Genomic DNA, 22,003 nt, shown 5'->3' with positions numbered 1-22,003 from the left:
CACAAAAACCAGTAATCTGTAGACCAGATGTTCTTAGCCATACATGGGCTCTACTCTGTGGACTAAATGGAAATGTATCTAAAATTTATAAGCATTTTACTTTGGAGAGGAGCGGAAACTCCTCAGGGTTCGTGTTCTGACAGCAGCTAAGAGCCACTGCTTCAGAACTGTGGCCGCCACAGTGTGGTCCCAACTGGCACCATCAATGCCACCCAGAACATGTTAGAATGGAAAATCAGAAGGCCCAGCGGGGTGGCTCAGGCCTATAATCCCAGCACTTTGAGAGGCCAAGGCAGGCGGATCACTTGAGTCCAGGAGTTCTAGATCAGTCTGAGCAACGCGGGGAAACTCCGTCTCTACAAAAATTAAAAAATTAGCCAGGTGTGGTGGTGTGCACCTGTAATCCCAGCTACTTGGGAGGCTGAGACACAAGAATCACCTAAATGTGGGAGGTCAAGGTTGCATGAGTCATGATTGTGCCACTGCACTCCAGCCTGGGTGACAGACTGAGACCCTGCCTCAAAAGAAAAAGAATAGGAAGTTCAGAAACCCTGGGTGTGGGGCCCAGCAATCTGCATTTAAACAATCCCTGCAGGCAATGCTGATGCAGCCTAAGTTCAAGAGCTGCTGTTCTGGAGGCAGCAGTAAGGGCTTCCATCCAGCATCACGGTCACACTGCAAAGCACCTGTCCTCGTTTTGCCAGAATGCAGGATGCAGATGCCAGTCCCCACTCCCACACCCAAGGCAGACTCTGCTAACAGACTATGTTCCTCTTTCCTGCTGTTTCCAGACACAGCATCCTCAGGCTCTGGTGAGTCCTAGCCTGTCAATCAGAGTCCCCTGCAGGCAATATTCATCTGCCATCCCTGGCCTGGTCCTCTGCCTAAATGATAAACAGTGAGTGGCTGGTGAGCATCGGCCTCACCAGGAGCAACACCTCTCCAGTGGCACTGGCAAGGTGAAAAGAAAGTCAGAACCAACTCTACAGAATGCTCTGCAGACAACCCAGTCCCCTACAAAAGAAATTCTAAGTGTGAGCCTGACTCATATCTGCTCACCATTTTATCGAGCTCTCAGGCTGCAGCCTAAATACTTTAACCACACTGAGGATGGCCTGTGTTTTGTAGGTGTCATGATGTGAGGCCTGGTGGATGTGAAGAGGGTAAGAGCGGGGAGGAACAATGTGCAGATGACTAGCTAATCACATCCTATAGCTCTGGGTGTCTGAAGGGTTAGAGGAGCAGTTCCTAAAGGGTCGACGTAGACTAGATAAACTCCCAGGGTCCATCTCATTGTTAGGAGCTGTTGTAGGTCTAAAAGATGACACAACTAAAAGCAGTGAAGCTGTTTCTCCCACTGGGCTGGAGTAATGACCCCCCCCCCAATCCTCATGGCTCCCCCAAAATGCAAAAATCCAGCTTAAAACCACACCACTGTGCCCTGCAATCAGCCAGCTTTCCATGTGGAGGGGCCTACATTCCAGCTAGGTTTATGAAGCAAGGTAATAAGTGAAGGGCTTGCCATTTCCCGAATGGTGGCGGCAGCAGCATGCAGGCGGGAATCTGGCTGTCCCCCATTCCACACTCCCCAGGCCCTTCTAAGGGGTGCTGAGCACTCACCATCCTCCTCCGGCAGCACTTGACCCACGTCAACCCAGCCCCACGCCACTCTGCTGAGGGCATCGACCACAGACTGGTGACCCCAGCTCCTTCCTCTACCTCCTCCTGCTGCACCCCACTCACAGCAGCTCCAGTAATGACAGTGTGTACCATCGGAGGTCTTATACCTTGATAGCAACAGGGTAAACTGTGGCTCCAATTTCAAAACTTCCCTTTTTGAACATCATCACCGATGTATTATTGATGCAGGTTCCTAAAATGCAGGAGACAATAAAATGCTATTTCTGTTGGCCCTTTACCCCAGATATTAGGCGTTTCTTAAAGACTAAGTATAATAGTCAAAATTCTTCTAATGGTTCCTCCAGTAAGATACATCTGTCATCTCCCTAACTTAAAAACAAACACTTAACAGAGACAGGCAAGATGGTGCCTCCGATTCTCTTTCTACAGGACCACTTTCCCTGATTCATACACACAGCCTAGATAAAGCAGAGACGCGCAGTGGCCTTAGGAGGACACCATGAGCTCTGTGAGGAGCTGAAACATTACAGAAGAAATTCCTGCATTTGGGGAGTTCACACTATGGCATTCTTAGTTCAAATTCTGAACTTACCTGAGTTTTTAGTCCTACTTCCAACCTAAAGGGGACCTAACATTATTCAGTGAAAACAGATAACCCCAACAAGGGCTGAGGGCCTTGGTTCCCAGGAAACATCAGCATCACACTCCTGCACTCCCCACAGAAGCCCTTCGTGGCAACCAACCCCTTCTTACCTTCTGGGAAGATGAGGATAGGCAGCTTGCTTTTATCTTGCACATGTTCAGTCAGTCTTTCAAAGAAGAAAATAAAATAAAGGGTCAGACAACCTTATACACATCGTCAAAATATGTTTATAAATAACCTATTTATTTGTGACACTAGTTTCGATTATAAAAAGTTAACAAGCATAACTGTATCCTTTTAAACCCATAATCTAATGCTCATCAAGAAAAAATGTATATGGATAGAGAAAAATCAGGTTACCATTTAATTCACAGAACTGTTCAATTCTGTGCGAACATCGGAGCACCAATGATGCCACTCAACCTGGGGGCCACCTGAAAGAGACACCTGCCACAAGGCCTGGGCATGGCCCCCTCAATAAACCTGTGTCACTAGACTATGTAACAGTTGTGAGGCTGGGCCCAGCCCTGCTGGCTCGATGCTCTGTCCCTGAGATGTAGCAAAGGGAGTTAGGGGAGAGTTCATCTGTCTCTATGGAAGATAATCTCAACTGTCTTTTCTTATGTGTTATTTTTTGAGACAGGGTCTCCCTGTGTTGCCCAGGCTGGAATGCGGTGGTGCAATCATAGCTCACTGAAGTCTCACCCTCCCTGGCTCAAGCGATCCTCCCACGTCAGCCTCCCAAGTAGCTGGGACTACAGAAGCGTACCACCACGCTCAGCTAATTTTTAAATTTTTTGTAGAGATGGGGGTCTTCCTATGTTGCCCAGGCTGGTCTCGAACTCCCGGGCTCTCAAAGCACTGGGATTACAGGCCTGAGCCACCATGTGTGGCTTGGTCTCAACTGTCTTGATGTCTCTGTCTGCTGCAAATCTCTTTGCATTACTTACAGCAGATTCACCTTCTTAAAGTTTGAAAACAGGGCAGTACTTTGTTCCACTGCCTTAGGTTTCTTTTTATTTGTGATAAATGAATTCATTTTGAGGTTTCAAATAGCAGTAAAAATTCGTATTTTGTTTATTATGATGGGTACAATGAATTAAAAAAAGGTTAAGAAACATTATTAACTTGGTAAATAATACTAGGGTTTCTATACTTTTTTTTTTAAGACAGAGTCTCATTCTATCGCCCAGGCTGGAATGCAATGGCGCGATCTCAGCTCACTGCAACCTCTGTCACCCTGGTTCAAACTATTCTCCTGCCTCAGTCTCCCTAGTAGCTGGGATTACAGATGCCCGTCAATAATTTTTGCATTTTTAGTATTTTGTATTTTCACCATGTTGGTCAGGCTAGTCTCAAACTCCTGACCTCAAGTGATCCGCCCACCTCGGCCTCCCAAACTGCTGGGATTACAGGCATGAGCCACCACACCCGGCCACTTTTAAAATTTCATGTTTTAGGAAAAAATTATTATGAAAGCAGTATAGGCTTATGATAGAAGGCACGTAACTGCACTGTGGAGGGATAACTACCCTGAAACCTTTTCAGCATTCTAACTGGCCAAGCAGAACAGCAGTGTTCTGTCCATTACCTCTTAGCCACCAGGTGGCGATCCTTCACTTCCGAGCGCTCAAACCAGACGTGTGGGCAGGCCTTCACCATGGCTCTCTGAATCACACCCATGAGTCCCCCGTGCACTTGACCCACCTAAGCGCAGGCACAGGACTCATTAGTAGTGAAGCCATCTTCACACGAATCTCCCCACTCTAGGAAGAACCACATCTCACAAAATAAGCAGTCCAACTTCTCACTTCTAACGCTTGCCGGCTGAAGGTTGCTCACTGCCAAGAAACCACTACCAAGACTCCCCAAATCTTAAACTTCTCCTTTTAATCAGTAATACTAGAAATAGGTAATTAAAAACATAACTGAAACCCCTAAGACAAAATACTAAAATACTAAAGTAGCGCAATTCCCTGTGTAAAACTGCCCCTCCCTGGGCAGATTCTCAGATGCCCTGGACACAGTCCTTGCCAGCAACTCCCTCTGCCCCTGCTGGTCTGCCTGACTGCCCTTGGCATCCTCTCCAGCCACACTCACCAATCACTCTGCCCAGGGTATCTCCTATCACAGTCCCACAGAGCCCCCACAGTGACAGTAAGGTGGGGGCCTGGCCCACGCATAAATGTGTTTATGTGAAGGGTCCAGGAGCCTCCTAGCCCTGACCACTCTAAAGCAGGAAGTCTTGCCTCAAGAACGCACCGGAAAGAGCTCTTACCATGGCATAATAGCCATCGCTGGCCAAGATGATCACATCGATCGGTGAGGTATGATTGGCCACACAGATGCCACCATTTCTTGGTCTGTTTTCCCTGGGTTTAAAATGTATGCAAAGCAACCAAAATTAGTGTGAAACAGTTCATGTAACACACCTCTCACCTCACATGCTTCATCTGCTCTAACTAAAAGCTCAGAAGTGTCTTCCCATTTGGCTAAGTATAGGTGGGTGGTGTTTCCTGCAGCGCCATCTCCCTTCCTATCAATACAAAGCGCTCTCACCTGTCATGGTAGGTGATGATGGCTGTCAGCGCTCGCACGCAGATCCGGTAACACATTAAGTGAACATGTTTACTCATGAACTCCTTAAACCTGCAATAACAGGACAAGGATTCTGGGTTTTATTTTACATACAGGAAGACAGAAAGAGTTACTGACTTCAACAGCTCAGCAGTCCTTTATAACAGCAAAGTGCTTGTATAGACATCAGCACCTACAGGAAAGTCCTGTGATGCATGAGCACCTTTATGTTCACACATGAGGAGAGAAAGAGGGGACAGGGAGACTCACTTACATCCACCCAAATCAGTGGGTGGAGAATTCACAGCCTAGAATCCGGCATCCGCAGACCACAGGCGGGCTGAACTCCGTTCCCCCAGTCAACATCCAGAGGCAGGTCCAAGGCCAGAGGCCAACCTCCTCACCCGCCCAGGCAGAAGAAAGGTTTCTAAACCCCAGAACTTCCCAAAGGGAGCAAAATATTCTTCACACAAACAGACAAAACCTCCCTACATTTCAAACCATTTTAAAAACTGTATTGTCTCATCACTTTATCCACACAGTCAAATGCTCAAAACTAAACAACAAGCTGTAAAATCTGTTAACATCTGAGTCTCGGACTCTACATGTCTGTGGCTCCTCCCTTTTGTCTTCAAAATGGGAAGAATGTGAGGGCTGAAGGACAAAAAGAACAGTCATAGATCAAAATTTAAAAAAAGTAAAGACTTTACTGCTGATGCCGTTGTTGCCATTGGGTTGTTATTATTATTTGAGATGGAGTCTCGCTCTGTTGCCTAGGCTGGAGTGCAGTGGTGTGATGTTGGCTCACTGCAACCTCTGCCCCCTGGATTCAAGGATTCTCCTGCCTCAGCTTCCCAAGTAGCTGGGATTACAGGCACCCGCCACCGTGCCTGGCTAACTTTTGTATTTTTAGTAGAGACAGGTTTCGCCATGCTGGCCAGGCTGGTCTCAAACTCCTGACCTCAGGTGATCCACCCACCTCAGCCTCCCAAAGTGCTGGGATTACAGGCATGAGCCACCGTGCCTGGCCACCACTGGGTTATTTAATCCATCTAAGATTCCATGGCTTTGGTTGTGTCCAAAGAAGTGTCCTTGCCTTCGATATCTGAGCACCATTCCCAGAACTAACTGTCCTTCAGGCATGGACTGCCACACTCTACTCACCTCCCATTTGGCAAGTATCCCACCACAGTTGTGCCCACCACCAGAAGGCTAATCCCTGTGAAAGCCAGTGCTATCCTGTAAGAAGAAGAAAAGTTAGAGCACAGCCAGCAAATCATTCTACCAAGTACAGAACTGAAGGTGTGAAAATCAAAGGGGGCATCACAAAAACCACCCCCAAGACCTGCTCACCTGGGACCTGGACCAGAGTTCACCTAGAAATGTAAGCAGGCCTATCAGAACCAGAGATCCTTTTGATTCCAGCTGACAGTGAGCCATGGGTCTGGCTCTCAGCTGCCTGCATCTCCTGAGGCCTCAGGCAGCTGGAAGGCTGGAAAACCCTAAGCTGGCCATTCTGCCACAGGGCTGCTCCCTGCTGCCCTCCCCTTCCCTTTGGCTGGAAACCCCGGTGGAAGCACAGCTTCCCTCTGAAGCAACAGGAGGTGGAGCTTGAAGGTATTAGCATCTGGCAAGGCACACTCAGAGCAGCACATGGTGCAGAGAAGCTGAAAGATCAATACTGCCCCTGTACCTGAGAGGCAAGCTTCAGGAAAGAATGAGCCATGTCCAGGAAGGAGTGGCAGAAAGCACACAATGTTCCCTGTCCCTGTGTTTGCTGTCATCTAGAGAAGCAAGCTGTCTTTAAGAAATCCAACTATTTCTGTCTGATATGCAGAGAATCCAAGGGCCTCTAAAGGAGAATCACCAGTGTATCCCTCCAAAGAGTCACGTGGCCTGGCTAACGACAGTCATTCCCTCCTCCTTTCTAAAACGGGAATACACAGCAGAGCAGGCAGGTGGGCTGTGCACCACGTGGGGTGGCAGCAGCGAGCCCCACTCCCGCAGGCCCTGCCTCACCTGAGCGGCAGCAGAAAGCAGTACCGAATCAGCACTCCTAACCCCCACAGGACCGTGAGCCGAAGGCTGATGTACTGGAAGTTATAATTGGTTCTGCTCAGCAGGTTCCAGGACTCCAGTTCTTCTGCTGAGAATCTCTTTGTCACCTCATCATCCATAATGGTCTCCATTCCTTTCCGGCAAAAGTAGAAAATGTCAGAGAGCTCGAACTCTGGAGTGTTGTCCAGAGCCTTACTACTACCACTTCGACGAATCTCTTTGATCTCTTCTTCTAGTGAAGTGGGATCCTTTGCAATGATTCCTGCAAAAGAATGTGTCCCTGTCAAGCAGCACGCTGGGGGAGAGCACGTGAGACATACTCAGAGCACACATCCTGCACTAATGCAGGGAAGAGCGTGTGTGGCACCAGAAGCACTGGGGAACACTGTTCAAATGGACCTCTCAGGACAAGGATCACACCCCCATCTTACCGTTGGTGTAGGGCTTGTAAAGCTGGTGGTTCTTCTCCTTGGCTCCTCGCTCCATTCTCAAGGTAGCCCACTGGGAGGGGAAGGAAGCAAGATACAAGAGCAAGAATGAGACCTGTTTTCAATCAGTGAACACCTCCATCTCTATTCTGTGAAAGCCTCAGTCCCAGTCACCTAAGACCGTAGCCAAGAAGCACATAGTCTAGAAGGAAACTCAAACCACCTCTCCCCAGAGCAGCCCCTTCCTTGACAACTGGGACCAAGAGTTAAGTCACCTATAGCAAAACACTGGGAACTTCAAGAAGCTGGGGCGAGTTCCTCAGGCCTAGTTCCTCACTGCCTACGTCTCTCTGTCTCCGGGCTGTAGGGAGCTCACTTGCTGACAGCACAGACCTCACGATTCCTCCTGCACTGCCGCACGGCAGCTACTCAAAACAGCGAAGCCAGGTATCCTGTAAACTACTGCCTGCCACCAAATTACTCCAAGAAAGCAGCAATTTTCATTTTAAAGGAGACAAAGAGCTTAAGTAATACATATGTTTGGACTGTCCAGTAACAGGAGTAACATTTTAATGGGAGAATCCCACAACTTAACACTGAAAGGCCTGGGAGTGGCTTAATAGTGTTAAAGGAAAAAAAGAACACTATTAGGAGACCGAAAAAAAAAAACCCAGATTCAATTCCCAAGTTTACATTCACTAGCTGCGTTCATTAAGCAACCCATTCCAAGTCTCTGAATCTTGGTCTCTTTATCTGCAAAACAGGATTGATACTACCTCAAACTCCTACTTCACGGGATCGCTTAGGATAAAATGAAATCATGTATGGGACAAAACTGGGGAAATGCAAAGCACTCTGTCCTGATTATTACCGAAATAACACAGATTCTGGAAAAGACCTAGGAAAAAGACGCTTTTCCTAGAATCCCTCTTCATTAAAACTGGTTTCGCTGGTATAAGACAGCCAGGGGCTGGTTCTCTCCCACTATCAAATGAGAGGTGAAAACATGGGTGCACTTATCCCCCCTTGGATATGGTATCACTAGAGAGAAAGCTATGTCATGTCCACAGTGAGTCAGAGAAACAGAACAGGCATTCAAAAGCCTCAACCTTCGGCTTCCACGGTTATGCACAGTGGGCACGAGCCCATCATCCCATGGCATGGGAAGATGCACGTGGCCCAGGGCACATGGTGCGGGTTCTGCTGGCAAAGCCCAAAGGGTCAGCAAGACTGCACCACGTGGTCCAGCAAAGCCGAATGCTGCACGCGAGTTTAATCAGTGATCTGACCTCATCTGGAAATCTCAAACCACACAGTCTAGAGAGGAAGGTGGCTCACAAAGTCACCACGCAAAGAAAGTTCAAAGGCAAGAAAACTCACATGACCCATTTTCTCTGTTTCAGATATTTGGCCATTGATGTCTTTTGGCTCTAAGCACAGACGAGCTTTCCTTTAAAAATGTTAATATAATACCTAAAATGGAGGAAGGTAAATCTCATCTGGTTTCCTGGAACTAGAGAAGAGGTGAAAAGGGGCAAGAGAGTTCACAACAATCCTGGCATGCAGAAACACAGGTCACTCAACCAGAATTTAGGGTTCTACATTTTGGCCAGGCTCTGTTTTGGCACTGCAAGAATAATCAGAAGAGAAAAACTTGGGGCCAGACGCAGTGGGGCTCATGCCTGTAATCCCAGCACTTTGGGAGGCCAAGGCAGAAAGATCGTTTGAGCCCAGGAGTTTGAGACCAGCCTGGGCAACATGGCAAAATCCCGTATCTAAAAAATACAAAAAAATTAGCTAGGCATAGTGATGTGTGCCTGTAGTCCCAGCTACTCCAGAGGCTGAGATGGGAGCCAGGGGACGTTGAGGCTGCAGTGAGCGGAGATTGCACCACTGCACTACAGCCTGGGAGATACAGCAAGACCCTGTCTCAAAAAAAAAAAAAAAAGAGAGAGAAACTTGATTCTGTACTGACAATTCTGATACTCCATGAGACTGCAATAGGCAGAGAATATATGACATAAGGCCTCTCAGATGACAATTTCAGTCTGAGGATTGTTTCAATGTGCAAAATTCAAGACGCCTGCAGGCTCTGTGATCATGGGAAAGGGATCTGCTAATTGAGATTCTACATCTCCTAGTTCTGTGGCAGTTCAGTAATAAACATCCCTTTGGCCTCCTGCTTTTTAATTTCAGGAACATGACAAAACACGTCTGTGTTTAGGAAAAAATTGCCCCAAGTCACAAGGGCAGGGGAAAAGAGGAGAGGGCTGAACAGCCTGTTAAGAAATGGCTGATCAGGTGGCTGGGTGCAGTGGCTCACACCTGTAATCCCAGCACTATGGGCAGGAGGATCATTTAAGCCCAGGAGTTTGAGAAATGGCTGATCAATGAACTGGACTCTTTCTGCCTGAAAGAAACCAAAATATTTCATCCTGAAATATACTTCTTTGACATATTTCAAGAGGACTGTTCAGAAGGACTGGAAATGCAAGAATAACGGAGAAACTGTCTTTTGTAGGAGGAATTTGCATCTGTAGAGGAGACAACGTGAAGTAAACAACAGATGCAAATAGACTTTCTCTGAAGCAACTCCCTCCTTGTCCCAATCTAGAAAGAACTGAGAGTCAGACGCCTTTAAAGGTCTGAAAGAAACACTTAGCATCTACACTTTTGAAGGGCTGCTATCTGTGAGGTTTCATCTACACAAGACTACCCGTGCTAGCCAAGCCACCTCTTCTCTCCCTCTTGTTACCTACTGCCACCTGATTTACCGCCATAGCCTGTTTTTTGGCCATGCTCGGAGCCCCCACTGTTTCTGTAACCTCAAATGCTACAAAAGCATCAACCATCTAGCTATTTCTTTGAGATCTTTGTAAAACTCCTGTGCACATTAATAAATTTGTACGTCTTTTCTTTTATTAATCTGCTTTTGAGAGTTGATTTTTCAGTGAATCTTCAGAGGGCAAAGGGGATGCTTTCCCTTGGCCCCTACAAACCCTACTGGACCAAATCAAAATGCCTCTGGGAAAACACTGCTTCTCTGCACTATACTCACACAGCACACTCCTGATACCAGATGTGTGAGGAATGCCCCCCCAAACCCAAACCAAGCAAATCTTCAGCAGGCACCAGCTGGGTGTCCTCTAATTCAATTCAATTCAATTCTGAGGCTATTGACCTGGAGTTGGTATCAGATCCCACAAGTTAAGAGTCAGTCCCACATGACTGCCCCTACTTCAGATCCAAGTTGAAAGTCTCACATGACTCGTACTTCTGACTGACCAGCTATAAATCGGGGTTCCCACAACCCTTCTTCAGGTTCAATGTGCTGGAATGACTCCCAAGATTCAGGGCAATGGTTTACTTAACATGTATAGCTTTATGATAAAGCACACACAGCTCAGGAAGCACCAGATGGAAGAGATGCATAGGGCAAGATACGGCAAGCCCTTGCCATCCTCCCAAGAGGATGCTCTCACCCAGCTGCCTCGTGGTTCATGCCCTGTCCTCTGCCCTCCCTTATTCCCTATTGAATTGCTTCCCTCTTGCTTCCCTCCGATCCACATGCTGCCAGAGTCCAGCCACGTCACTTTCTTGTTCAAAAATCTTCAATGGGCTGGGCGCAGTGGATCATGCCTGTAATCCCAGAACTTTAGGAGGCTGAGGAGGGTGGATCACTTGAGGTCAGGAGTTTGAGACCAGCCTGGCCAACATGGCAAAACCCCATCTCTACTAACACTACAAAAATAGTCAGGTGTGGTGGCACAGGCCTGTAACCCCAACTACTCGGGGCTGAGGCAGGAGAATCACTTGAACCCAGGAGGCGAAGGTTGCAGTGAGCCAAGATTGCGCCACTGCACTCCAGCCTGGGCAACAGAGGGAGACTCTGTCTCAAAAAACAAACAAACAAACAAACAAACAAACAAACAAACAAACAAAACACAACCTTCAATGATTTCTCAATGCCTGAAGTTCAGTATTGTAACCCACCTCATTCCCTCCATGCGCCGTGTTTTTGCTCTACTGAACTATGTGCCATCTCTAAACAATATTACCTTTTCACCTTTATCAACTGTGCTTCTAGAATGCTCTATCCTTCTCCCTTTTAGGATCCAGTTCAAATGTCAAATCTAAGAAATGTTACCTACTCAATTCCTGCAATCAGAATTCACCTCTGCCTGTGTATTTCAACTGGTATTTCAACTAATTCATTCTGAGTTAGTTATAGATGCATATGTCTTTCCTACTAGACTACACAAACCTCAAGAGGCGGCAGCCAGAACTTACCCCTATGTGCATTTCAGCACAGTCTGAGAGAGTGCCTTCTACTTAGTAGGCAGTCACTAATTTAATTCATCAACTCCCAATATTTTTCTCCATCAAGGTCTCCTTATGGAAAAGTAGAGCCAAAATGACAAAACCTGGAGCTATTTCCTTTCGTCTTCCCCCTTAATTCCTGTCTGCTTCAGTCTGTCCTTTAACCTACTCAAGGCTATGTTAAAATCACACTCCTCATCGGGGGTAGGATGACCTCTTTCACTACAACCATGTGAAAGGAGTATTAATACTCCCACTCTCTAAATGAAGAAACACTGGAAAGTTCAATGCCTTTTTCAGAGCCAGTAATGAAAGCCCTGGGATTCAAGGTAACAGCTGCCTGACCCAACACAAATGCCCATCGCACACAATGCCACCACCACTAGTCTCTTCAGCTTCTCCACAACTGCCACTGGTTTCTGACTCTCCACCAACAAGTTCCACCTTGGAGTTTAACACAGATCACATCATAGCTGTCTCATCTTCTCTAACGTGACCTGATCAACTCCTTTCACATCATTTGTTCTCATCTTTCTCCTTTACATCCAGGCTTTCTTCTCTCCCCTCTTCCAGGTCATTTTCAACTCAGCTGAGGGTCAACTCCTGGGAATTCTACTCCTAGTAATACCATCACCACTGTGGAGGGGGTTCATGTGAAGCACAAACATTAAGCAAACACTAAAACCCTTCCAGTCACATGCTGCTCTCTGCACACAAAGATCTTCTGTGACTCAGCATGAACAGGACCTGCACTGAGTTAGGGCTTCCAGGAAAGGGAACAGAAAAGATATTGATCCACCCATATCCTCTCCATGTTCCTCCTCCCTTGGCAGGTACACAAATACTTTCTCCTGGTTCCTTTATATAGGGAGAACTAGTCATGGGAAAGGAGCTGTAAGCCAGGGCTAGCTTAGGTCTGCCAAAAGCACAGGTGTATGTACTGCATGAACTATTAGGTATCCAGTTTTAATGATCTTTATGAAGATTATTTAGTAAAATGTGAAAATGGCTGATAAAATGCCAAAAGAAAATGTAGACACACAACAACAAGTAAACACTATTAATACAGCCATAAAATATAAATGTTTATTGCCAAAGACTGAAAGGAAGAAGGCAAAAAAAAAAAAAAAAATTAAAAGGTGTTACAAGTTGTGGGCCATGAATGAATGTTTAAAATTTTCTAATGTCTGTCTGGCTATCTTATTGCTATATTACAAGCCACCCCAAAACTACGTGAATACACCATTCATTCATTCATTCATTCATTCATTCTGTGCAGCTGAGGACTGGAATCCTCAGAAGACTCATCCCTCCAGTGTGGGGTGGCTGGTGCTGGCCTTCAGGGCCTCACTGAGCTGGGAGCTGGGCTGCCTACACCTGGTTGGCTTCCTTACAACATGGTAGCTGGGGTCCAGGGGCAAGCGGCCTGAGAGACGGGCCAGATAGAAGCCCTACTGCATTTTCTAACCTAATCTCACATATCACAGCATCCTGCCCCCCCACATCCTCTGTGTCAGGAACAGTCACTGAGGTCCATACTTGGGACATCAGAATACCCTGGGGAGCTTTTAAAAAAACGCCTACCCAGATCAGTTAAAGCAGGTTCTGGGGCCCAAAATTACTTTTTTTTTTTTTTTTTTTTTGAGACGGAGTCTTGCTTTGTCACCCAGGCTGGAGTGCAGTGGCGGGATCTCCGTACACTGCAACCTCCACCTCCTGGGTTCAAGCGATTCTTCTGCTTCAGCCTCCCGAGTAGCTGGGATTACAGATGTGCGTCACTACGCCCGGCTAATTTTGTATTTTTAGTAGAGATGGAGTTTCACAATGTTGACCAGGCTGGTCTCGAACTCCCGACCTCAGGTGATCCACCTGCCTCGGCCTCCCAAAGTGCCGGGATTACAGGCATGAGCCACTGCGCCCAGCCCCAGAAGTATTTTTTAAAATGCCTCCCCAGGCGATTTAAATGCACTGACAGGAGGGAGAACGGCAAAATGAAGACGATCTCTGAACTTTCTTCCGGCTCTAAACTTATACCCATTATTCCAATTTAGGAAGTGGTGAAGAGGCTTAAAAAGGTAAAATAAAGGTCTCTCCTTGCTAGAGAATAAATGCTTATGTCCCCTCAAAATTCATGTTGAAACCTAAGCCCCAAGGTGATGGCATTTGGAGGTGGAGCCTCTGGGAGGTGATAAGGTCATGAAGGTGAAGCAGTCATGAATAGCACTAGTAATATCCCTAAAAAAGGGACTTCAGAGGGCTCCCTCATCCCTCTGCCGCAGGAGGGCACAGAGAGAAGACAGATGTCTATGAACCAGGAAGCGGCCTCACCAGACACTGAATCTGCTGGTGCCTGGACATGGTTTTCCCAGCCTCCAGAAATGTAAAAACTAAACGTGTTTTTTAAGCCACCCAACCCATGGTAGTTCGTTATAGCAGCCTAAATAGACTAAGACACTCCTCAATTTTAAGAAAGGTACACATAAACACCCACAAGTGTTAGGTGTATTTTAGACAGATACACAGATACTGACTTCCCAAGACCTGAAGCCCACTGGGCCAAGTTCAGCTGTACCTATGTGACCACTGAGAAGGCAGCATTCAGTTCCTACCTTCCATTCAGATCGACTCAGAGCAGTAACAGAGGGTGAAAAAAGACCAGCACTCTTCCGGAGCACCCCAGGCCCCTGCAGGAATACGCCAGTCCTTTCTGGCCCACGTGACTCAGTTTACAGCCAGGCTGTAATGGTCCACAAACAGGACAGGCCCCACAGGGCATCTACAACCCTTTCGGTGGCTGGCACACACCTCTAAGGAAGGAAGGAGTGCAAATCTAGTTTCTGATATTCTAAATGTTGAGGTCACAAATATACATATGCTACTTCCATTACCGCTTCTAAATCACTGTGCCCCAGGCCAGGTGTGGTGGCTCACGCCTGTAATCCCAGCACCACTTTGGAAGACTGAGTCGGATGGATCAGTTGAGGCCAGGAGTTCAAGACCAGCCTGAGCAACATGGCGAAACCCTGTCTTTACTAAAAATACAAAAATTAGCCGGGTGTGATGGCACGCGCCTGTCATCCCAGCTACTTGGGTGGCTGAGGCAGGAGAATTGCTTGAACCCAGGACGAGGAGGCTGCAGTGGGCCAAGATCATGCCACTGCACTCCAGCCTGGGCAAAAGAGCAAGACTCTGTCTCATAAATAAATACATTTGGGCCACTGTGGCCCAAACCAGTAATTTTCAAGATGTGGCTTCAAATAGTCTCTGTTGGTTCAAGACTGCAGGTCCTATAAATTGGCCCAAAGTACACATATGATGAATTTTCCATTGTATCATAATCTACATTAAAAGTCATAGGGATGTACATTTTAAATAATAGTCACAATACAAAGGATTTGGCTATAAACTTTAAAGTATTAATTTTGGGGACATTTTCAAAATGGAGCAAGGAATATACATGGATTCTAGGCCTTCTGCCCTACCCAAAGTCATCCAAGTGAAATTTTAACTACTACAAGAGAACTCTAGGCTCATAACTCTTACTTCTACCTTTTAATAATTACAACTTCCATAGGTCCATGAATTAACCACTTGCTTACAAATGTAAATGAAAGCTAGACACTAGACACCAGACACCACTCACTGTGTCCTAAGTTTATCAGCTTTTCTACTAATTCTATCCTGATAGATGTTTTTCATGGTGGTAAAAGGGCCCAGGTGTAAGTTATACCATCCGCAGGGATCCTGTGTGCTGCTCGAGATTTTCTTGGACTAAAATATATGAAAATTACATTTCCTAATTAAAATAAATACATTAAAAAACAGCCAGTCCAAAGACTGACTAGATCACTACTCCTCAAATTTTAATATGCATCTGATTCACCTGTGCAGAGTCTAACTCAATAGGTCTGGGGTGGGTCTGCAATGGTCATTTCTAACCAGCTGCTTGGCGATGCTCATGCAGCTGCTCTCCAGATCGCTCTCTGAGTAGCAAGGACCCAGATACAGATAACCCCAAGTCCATCCTTAAGCAATGCTCTAAGATTATATTCTTAAAAAAACAGGTACTCAAACAAATGCACGTACACGCAGGTCCACAGCAGCACTATTCAAAATAGCCAGAGAAGGTAGAAACAGCCCATCCTTGTCCATCAATGGATGAAAGGATGACCAAATTATGGTAGAGACATACAGTAAAATATAATTCAGCCCCTCACCCACAAACAAGCAGAAGAGAAGTAGTGACACGTGCTACGATGCTGATGAACCTTGAAAATGTTATGCTGAGTGAAAGAAGCCAGACACAAAAGGGCATATTTGGTATGATTCCATTCACATGAAATATGCAGAATAGGTAAATTCAGAGGCAGAATGCAGACTGTGGTTGCCAGGGCTGGCGGAGGGAGGAATGGGGAGTGAATGCTTAATGAGTGTGGGGTTTCCTTTGGACTGATGAAAATGTTGTGAATTGGACAGAAAACAATGTGAATATAGTAAACGCTACTGAACTGTTCACTCTAAAATTATTAACTTTATGTTGTCAATTTCCCCTTGGTTTTCTTAAATGTAAAAAAAAAAAACACCATATGCTTATAGACATACTAAGTACCAAAAAAGAAAAAACCCAAGATTCAATGACAAACATAAAAAATATTTCACACTATAATGTAACATTTCACATAGCTCACTTAATCTGAGTCTTTTTCTTCATTGATAAAATGCAGATAAATAAAATGCAGGTTGATAAAATGCCCCATCTACCACAGAATTATAAGGAACCAAAGAAAAACGATAAAAGTTACTCTCAAAACCAGAAGATACAATATGGGCCAGGTACGGTGGCTCAGGCCTGTAATCCCAGCACTGTGGGAGGCTGAGGTGGACAGATCACTTGAGGGGTCAGGAGTTCGAGACCAGCCTGGACAACATGGTGAAACCCTATCTCTACTAAAAATACGAAAAAATAGCCGGGTGTGGTGGCATGGGCCTGTAGTCCCAGCTACTCAGGAGGCTGAAGCAGGTGAATTGCTTGAACCCGGGAGGCAGGGGTTGCAGTGAGCCGTGATTGCGCCACTGCATTCCAGCCTGGGCGACAGAGTGAGACTCTTGTCTCGAAAAAAAAAAAAAAAAAAGAAAAGAAAAAGATAAAATATGAACAATGCTGTATTATTTTTACTACTATAAGTGCACTTCTCAAATTATACATGAATCCCTAAAGATTTGGTGACTACTAAAAACAGACATTACAATGAAATCACCAAATCTGTGCAGAGGTATTTAAGTCTTGTGGGAGAGATCAACTTCCAAAAAACATCACTTCTCACCTATTTCCTTACAATGTGACCAGTTTGGTATAATTCAACAGTCAGGTAAGTTCTGACATATGTTCAGAAATGTATCCTTTGCCTCTACCTTTAATAAAACAATTCAAATGCCCTTTTCTGTCCATTCTTTTAGTCTGAAATGCAAGGACCTACTTAGAATAAATGCCTGGAAGAGAAGAGGCTCTCCCATGCTTCTCAGTGAGGGAATATGCCTGCAGCAGCTTCGAGCTATGGCATCAGTTATGCAAGAAGAGACAGAGATTGGCAGTGCTTTTCTTTAATTCTAAGCCCCATTCTCTTTGAAATAAACAGGCAACATGTGGAGTCATGGTATAGGTCCCTCGGCTCGGCATAAATCAAACACACAAGTACCTTTCAAAAGTAGACGTTTAGTTATTCTTCTTACTCAAAAAGCCACTTCCCATTCTCCCAACTTTCTCCCTATCTAATAAAGAGATAATAGGCCTGTAAGAATAACTTTTTGCTAAATGCACTTCTACCCTCCTCTGTGAAGCAACCTTTTGTAACAGCATAACTTACCGCAAAGATTTTTAACAGACTTTTCATGTAGAGTTTGCGGATACCAAAGGAGACTCCAAAAATGGCTGGCACTATGATGAAAACGAGAAGGAGGGTGAAGAGGACAGTCAGGGAGATGCCCAGAAGGTTGACAATCAGGCTATCAAAAGGCAGCAACAGGAACATGGTGGAAGATCCAGGCCAGGCCAGCACCTGCCTCCCTAAGAACAAATTGCAGCCTTCAGATGGTCCTTCCTGACAGCACCAGCCAGGGAAAGGAAGCAAGTTCCCGAAGAACAGCAAACCCCATTCCAAAGTCCACACCCTTCAACCGCCTGAATAGAAGGCCTGGGAACAGAATGACAGAAAAACACGGCCACAGGAGGCAACTGCAAACGCCAGGTCTCTCCAGAATGGATGGACTCTAAAGATGATTGAAGCTAGATGGGTCTTCAGTAAAAGCATCCGAGTCCAGATGGAGTTTCTGTGCAAGTGAGCAGTGAGGACGGGGGCTCTGCTCTGCTGTCCTGATGCTGCTTCCAGAGGTTTTACATGGTTTTCCTGCCCAAGAGCATTCAACAGATAAATCTGTCCTGCAGATCTGTCACTACCAGAAGTACGAAGAAGAATTAAACTTGGTGCCAGAAAAATCCTGATAACTCCTGTGGAGGGGTAATCACTGGCACTTCACACAGAAGGCTTTTGACTTGAATATGTGGAAATTAAATAACTGTTTTACTTAAAATTCCTTCATAAGCCGAGAACCATGTTCATGGTAGAGAGTTCATATCTGGCCCCATCCTCCTCTGGCAAGGCTCCTGGTGCTCACAGCTTCCAGGATCCTCCTACCTGGAGAGCTACAGTCTTTGCCAGAAGGAAAGAGATGCTGGCACACAATGTCTCATACTGCGAGTGCTGAGTGTAACTCCAGATGCATCTGGCATTGGTATCCTCTGGACACTCTTCTCCCGAAGGCACCCTTTCTTAGCAGTGACCTGGGTTCTTGGCAAACAGCTGCTTACATGCTGCCAAAGCTGGGGGAGGGAAACAGAAACATTGTCAGTCACACAAATCAAGAGGAAAAATGTCAATATGCTGGGGGCCAGGCGGACTGTTTTAGGGTAAGCCTAAAACTGTCAGTGTGGTCAATGACTGCTTCTCAAGTCATCAAGGTCAAAGAGACCAGGCAGACCCAACAGGTGGCAGACATGAATGTGGGAGGGAAACATAGAGGTTTCACAGTTTTCAACCCAAATGATATGATCGGTGGTCAAACTTTCTGAATATAAAATACATGTATATAAGACACATTTAAAAGATAAAAAGCGTGTGCTATGGAAAGTACATCTCCTTCCTGTCCCCCAGATACTCAGAGTGGTTCCGCACAGATGCAGCCAAAGGTTGTAACCACCTTTGTATTCTTCCCAAGACATTCTATGCTTAAACAAGGAAATCACAATGGTTCTCCGTCACCAATGGCCCCCAGGCCAGGCAACAAGGACGTATTATTCTTCACCTTGCTTTTTGTTTTTGTTTTTAGTTTAACACATCTTAGAAGAATGTCCCATCAATACACATAGAGCTCCTTCACTCTGCAGGTGCAAAGTTTTCAACTTAAGAATGTGCCACAACTTAGTTCACCAGTCTCCTAAGGCTAAACACTGATATTTTTACTTTTTTTTTTGTATAATGTTGTAACGAATAACCAGGTACATGCATGACTTAGTACACAAAATGTGCTTAGCAAATATATTTTCGGGGTAAATTCCTAGAAATGGAATTGCAGAGGAAAAGAAAATACACATTTTTAAATTTGCAAGACCTTGCCATATTTTCCACATAGAGATTAAACTCCTCCAGCCTCTCCCCACACTGGCCACTCATTGTGAAATTCCACTATTTCAAATATCTCACAAAAGTATTCCAATTTTACATCGCACATTCCAAATCCCTGAACTTGGGAGTATCCTATCAAGTCTCTCTGGCAAATATTTTGGCTTCACACTAATCACCTTCAGGCTATTCCAAACACTTAGAAGTACAAGAAATTGAACAAATGAACAAGTACTGACTTCGCCTTAAAATCTGCGCAATGTTTTAAGGGAGGAGACCACCCTTCATATTGTCTTATGCCCAATTTCTGCCTCCAAAGAAAGAAGAAATAAAATCTAAAAGGCAGAAATGGAATCCACAGGCAGATAGCCCAGCATCGTGCCATGGGCCTAGTAGTTAAAAATCAACCCCTGACCTAACTTTTTGTGTTATCTATAGATTTCAGACACTGTATGGAAAAGCATCGTGAAAACCCCTGTCCTGTTCTGTTCCATTCTGATTACCGGTGCATGCAGCTCCCAGTCACGTACTCCCTGCTTGCTCAATCGATCATGACCCTCTCATGCGGACCCCCTTGGAGTTGTAAGCCCTTAAAAGGGACAGGAATTGCTTACTCGGGGAGCTCGGTTTTTGAAGACGTGAGTCCACTGATGCTCCCAGCTGAATAAAGCCCTTTCCTTCTACAACTTGGTGTCTGAGGTGTTCTTGTCCGCGGCTAGTCCTGTTGCATTTCTTGGTTCCCTGACTGGAAACAAGGTGATTAGAGGAAGGCCAAGGCAGCCCCTTAGGTGACTTAGGCCTGCCCTGTGGAGCATCCCTGCGGGGGACTCAGACCAGCCTGAGCAATGTGGATCCAAAGAGCGCTCCTGGGTAGGCAATTGCCCCATGGGACATGTCGCCAGAGCAGCATGTGGCAGGCTCCCAGAGGATCAACGCAGTGGCTGAACACCGGGAAGGAACTGGCACTTGGGAGTCCAGACATCTGAAACTTGGTAAGACTGGTCTTTGGAACTTGCCCACTCCATTTGAGTGGAAGCGTGGCCTGATCACCCACAGCATGGCTGTACGGGTACTTTGGCTTTTGTTTTTGACTTAACTTGGATTGCTTGATACTTTGGTTTTGACCTGGCTTGGATCTCTTGATACTCTGATTTTGGTTTTGATTCTGGTTTGGTGTAAACTGTAAAAGTGTGTGTGTGCCCTTTTTACCCGTTCTTTGTTTTGTGGTGTGTGTGTGGGGTGAGCGTGGTGTTTTGTCTCAAGGAAGCATGGGTCAGGCACAAAATAAGCCCACCCCACTAGGAACTACGTTGAAAATTTTCAAGAAAGGACTGAAGGGAGATTACGGCATTACTATGATACCAGGAAAACTTAGAACTTTGTGTTCTAAGTTTGGCCAGAAATAGACTGGCCAACATTAGAGGTGGCCGTTGGCCATCAGAAAAGAAGCCTGGACAGGTCCCTTGTTTCAAAGGTACGGCACAAGGTAACCTGAAAGCCAGGGCGCCTAGACCAGTTCCTGTTCATAGACACTTGGTTACAGCTGGTTTTAGATCACACCCCCCCACCCCTGCCCCGCCACAGTGGTTGAGAGAACAGCAGCATAAGTGGCTGGCAGAGGCAAGGAAAGACCAGCAGAGAGAGACAGAGAAAAGAGACAGAGAGGAAAAGAGGAAAAGAGAGACAGGAAGAGGGGGAGAGACAAAGACGGAGTCAAGGAGGGAGAGAGGCAGAGAGAGAGGAAGAGGCAGAGGCAAAAGGAAAAGTCAAAGAGAGAGAAAGTTAAAGAGAGAAAGAAAGAGATATACAAGTAGTTAAGAAAAAAAGTGTACCCTATTCCTTTAAAAGCCAGGGTAAATTTAAAACCTATAATTGATAATTGAAGGTCTTCTCCGTGACCCTACAACACTCCAATACCACCTTGTTGTAAGTGTAAACAAGGGCTTAGCCCGAAAGCACTGAGGCCACTAACAACCTGTAGCCTTCCTATCAACCATCCTTAACCTAGTAATCTGCAGATGGCCCAAAAGCATTCAATCTGTAGTGGCAACTGCTTTGCTAACAGAAGAAAGTAGAAAAATAACTTTTAGAGGAAACCTCATTGTGAGCATACCTCACCAGTTCAGAAATATCCTAAGTAAAAAAAAAAAAAAAAAAAAAAAAAAAAGGAAGATTTAACATTAACCACTGAAAATTCCCTTAACCCAGCAGGTTTCCTAACAGGAGATCTAAATCTTAATTACCATACAAAGGTCCAACCAGACCTAGGAGGAACTCCCTTCAGGACAGGACAATAGATGGTTCCTCCCAGGTAATTAAAAAAAAAAAAAAAAAAACTATACCAATTCTAAGTTAATTTGGACTAAACAAGGTCTTATTAATAGCAAAGGATAATTAAAATCCCAAACTTACAAGGTTTTCAACAAAACTGAAGTCTGCTAAAAGTTAAAAGTGTAACATATATTATAGTAACTTCTAATCTTGTCGCCTTAGACAGTCTAGTCCACAGACATAAAGGAAGTTCACTTTGGAAAAGAATGGTTATCATCTTCAGAAAAAAAGGGGGGACAGAATTTATGTAAAAAAAAAGCTATATGGTAAATTCTTGCCCTGAAATAAAATAACTGGTCGTTTAAAAAAAAAGTTTGGGCCGGGCACGG

General features: G+C 45.5%; 1 protein-coding gene across 7 annotated transcripts in view, besides 2 other annotated features; it reads right to left on the bottom strand.

Annotated features, from left to right (window-relative positions):
- Positions 1-22,003, bottom strand: part of GPAT4 (glycerol-3-phosphate acyltransferase 4) — a 46,802-nt gene that overhangs the window by 8,166 nt on the left and 16,633 nt on the right. For 3 of the 7 annotated variants that reach the window (NM_178819.4, NM_001363197.2, XM_047421371.1), the window contains exons 2-10: positions 17,532-18,544; positions 7,351-7,420; positions 6,881-7,181; positions 6,026-6,100; positions 4,844-4,933; positions 4,563-4,656; positions 3,876-3,991; positions 2,395-2,450; positions 1,788-1,873 (exon numbers count right to left, since the gene is read on the bottom strand). In NM_178819.4, coding sequence (NP_848934.1) covers positions 1,788-1,873; positions 2,395-2,450; positions 3,876-3,991; positions 4,563-4,656; positions 4,844-4,933; positions 6,026-6,100; positions 6,881-7,181; positions 7,351-7,420; positions 17,532-17,696 — 1,053 coding nt within the window. In that variant the 5' untranslated portion in view covers positions 17,697-18,544. The other 4 variants (XM_047421370.1, XM_047421372.1, NM_001363198.2 and 1 more) reach the window with 3 other exon arrangements.
- Positions 7,048-8,247: an enhancer, noted in NCBI's record as "CDK7 strongly-dependent group 2 enhancer chr8:41466108-41467307 (GRCh37/hg19 assembly coordinates)". NCBI's record gives its function as "activates an origin of replication core promoter dependent on BRD2, BRD4, P300/CBP, MED14 and CDK7 cofactors, with strong dependence on CDK7, by STARR-seq in HCT116 cells {active_cell/tissue: HCT116}" and the evidence as "EXISTENCE:reporter gene assay evidence [ECO:0000049][PMID:35650434]".
- Positions 19,690-20,190: an enhancer, noted in NCBI's record as "H3K4me1 hESC enhancer chr8:41454165-41454665 (GRCh37/hg19 assembly coordinates)". NCBI's record gives its function as "activates a minimal SCP1, AML or CMV promoter by ChIP-STARR-seq in naive H9 embryonic stem cells {active_cell/tissue: H9 hESC(naive)}" and the evidence as "EXISTENCE:reporter gene assay evidence [ECO:0000049][PMID:30033119]".

Source organism: Homo sapiens, chromosome 8 (assembly GCF_000001405.40).
Source record: "Homo sapiens chromosome 8, GRCh38.p14 Primary Assembly".
NCBI lineage: Eukaryota > Metazoa > Chordata > Mammalia > Primates > Hominidae > Homo > Homo sapiens.
Note: the sequence above shows the minus strand (reverse complement) of the source record. Positions and strands in the feature narration are given on the sequence as shown.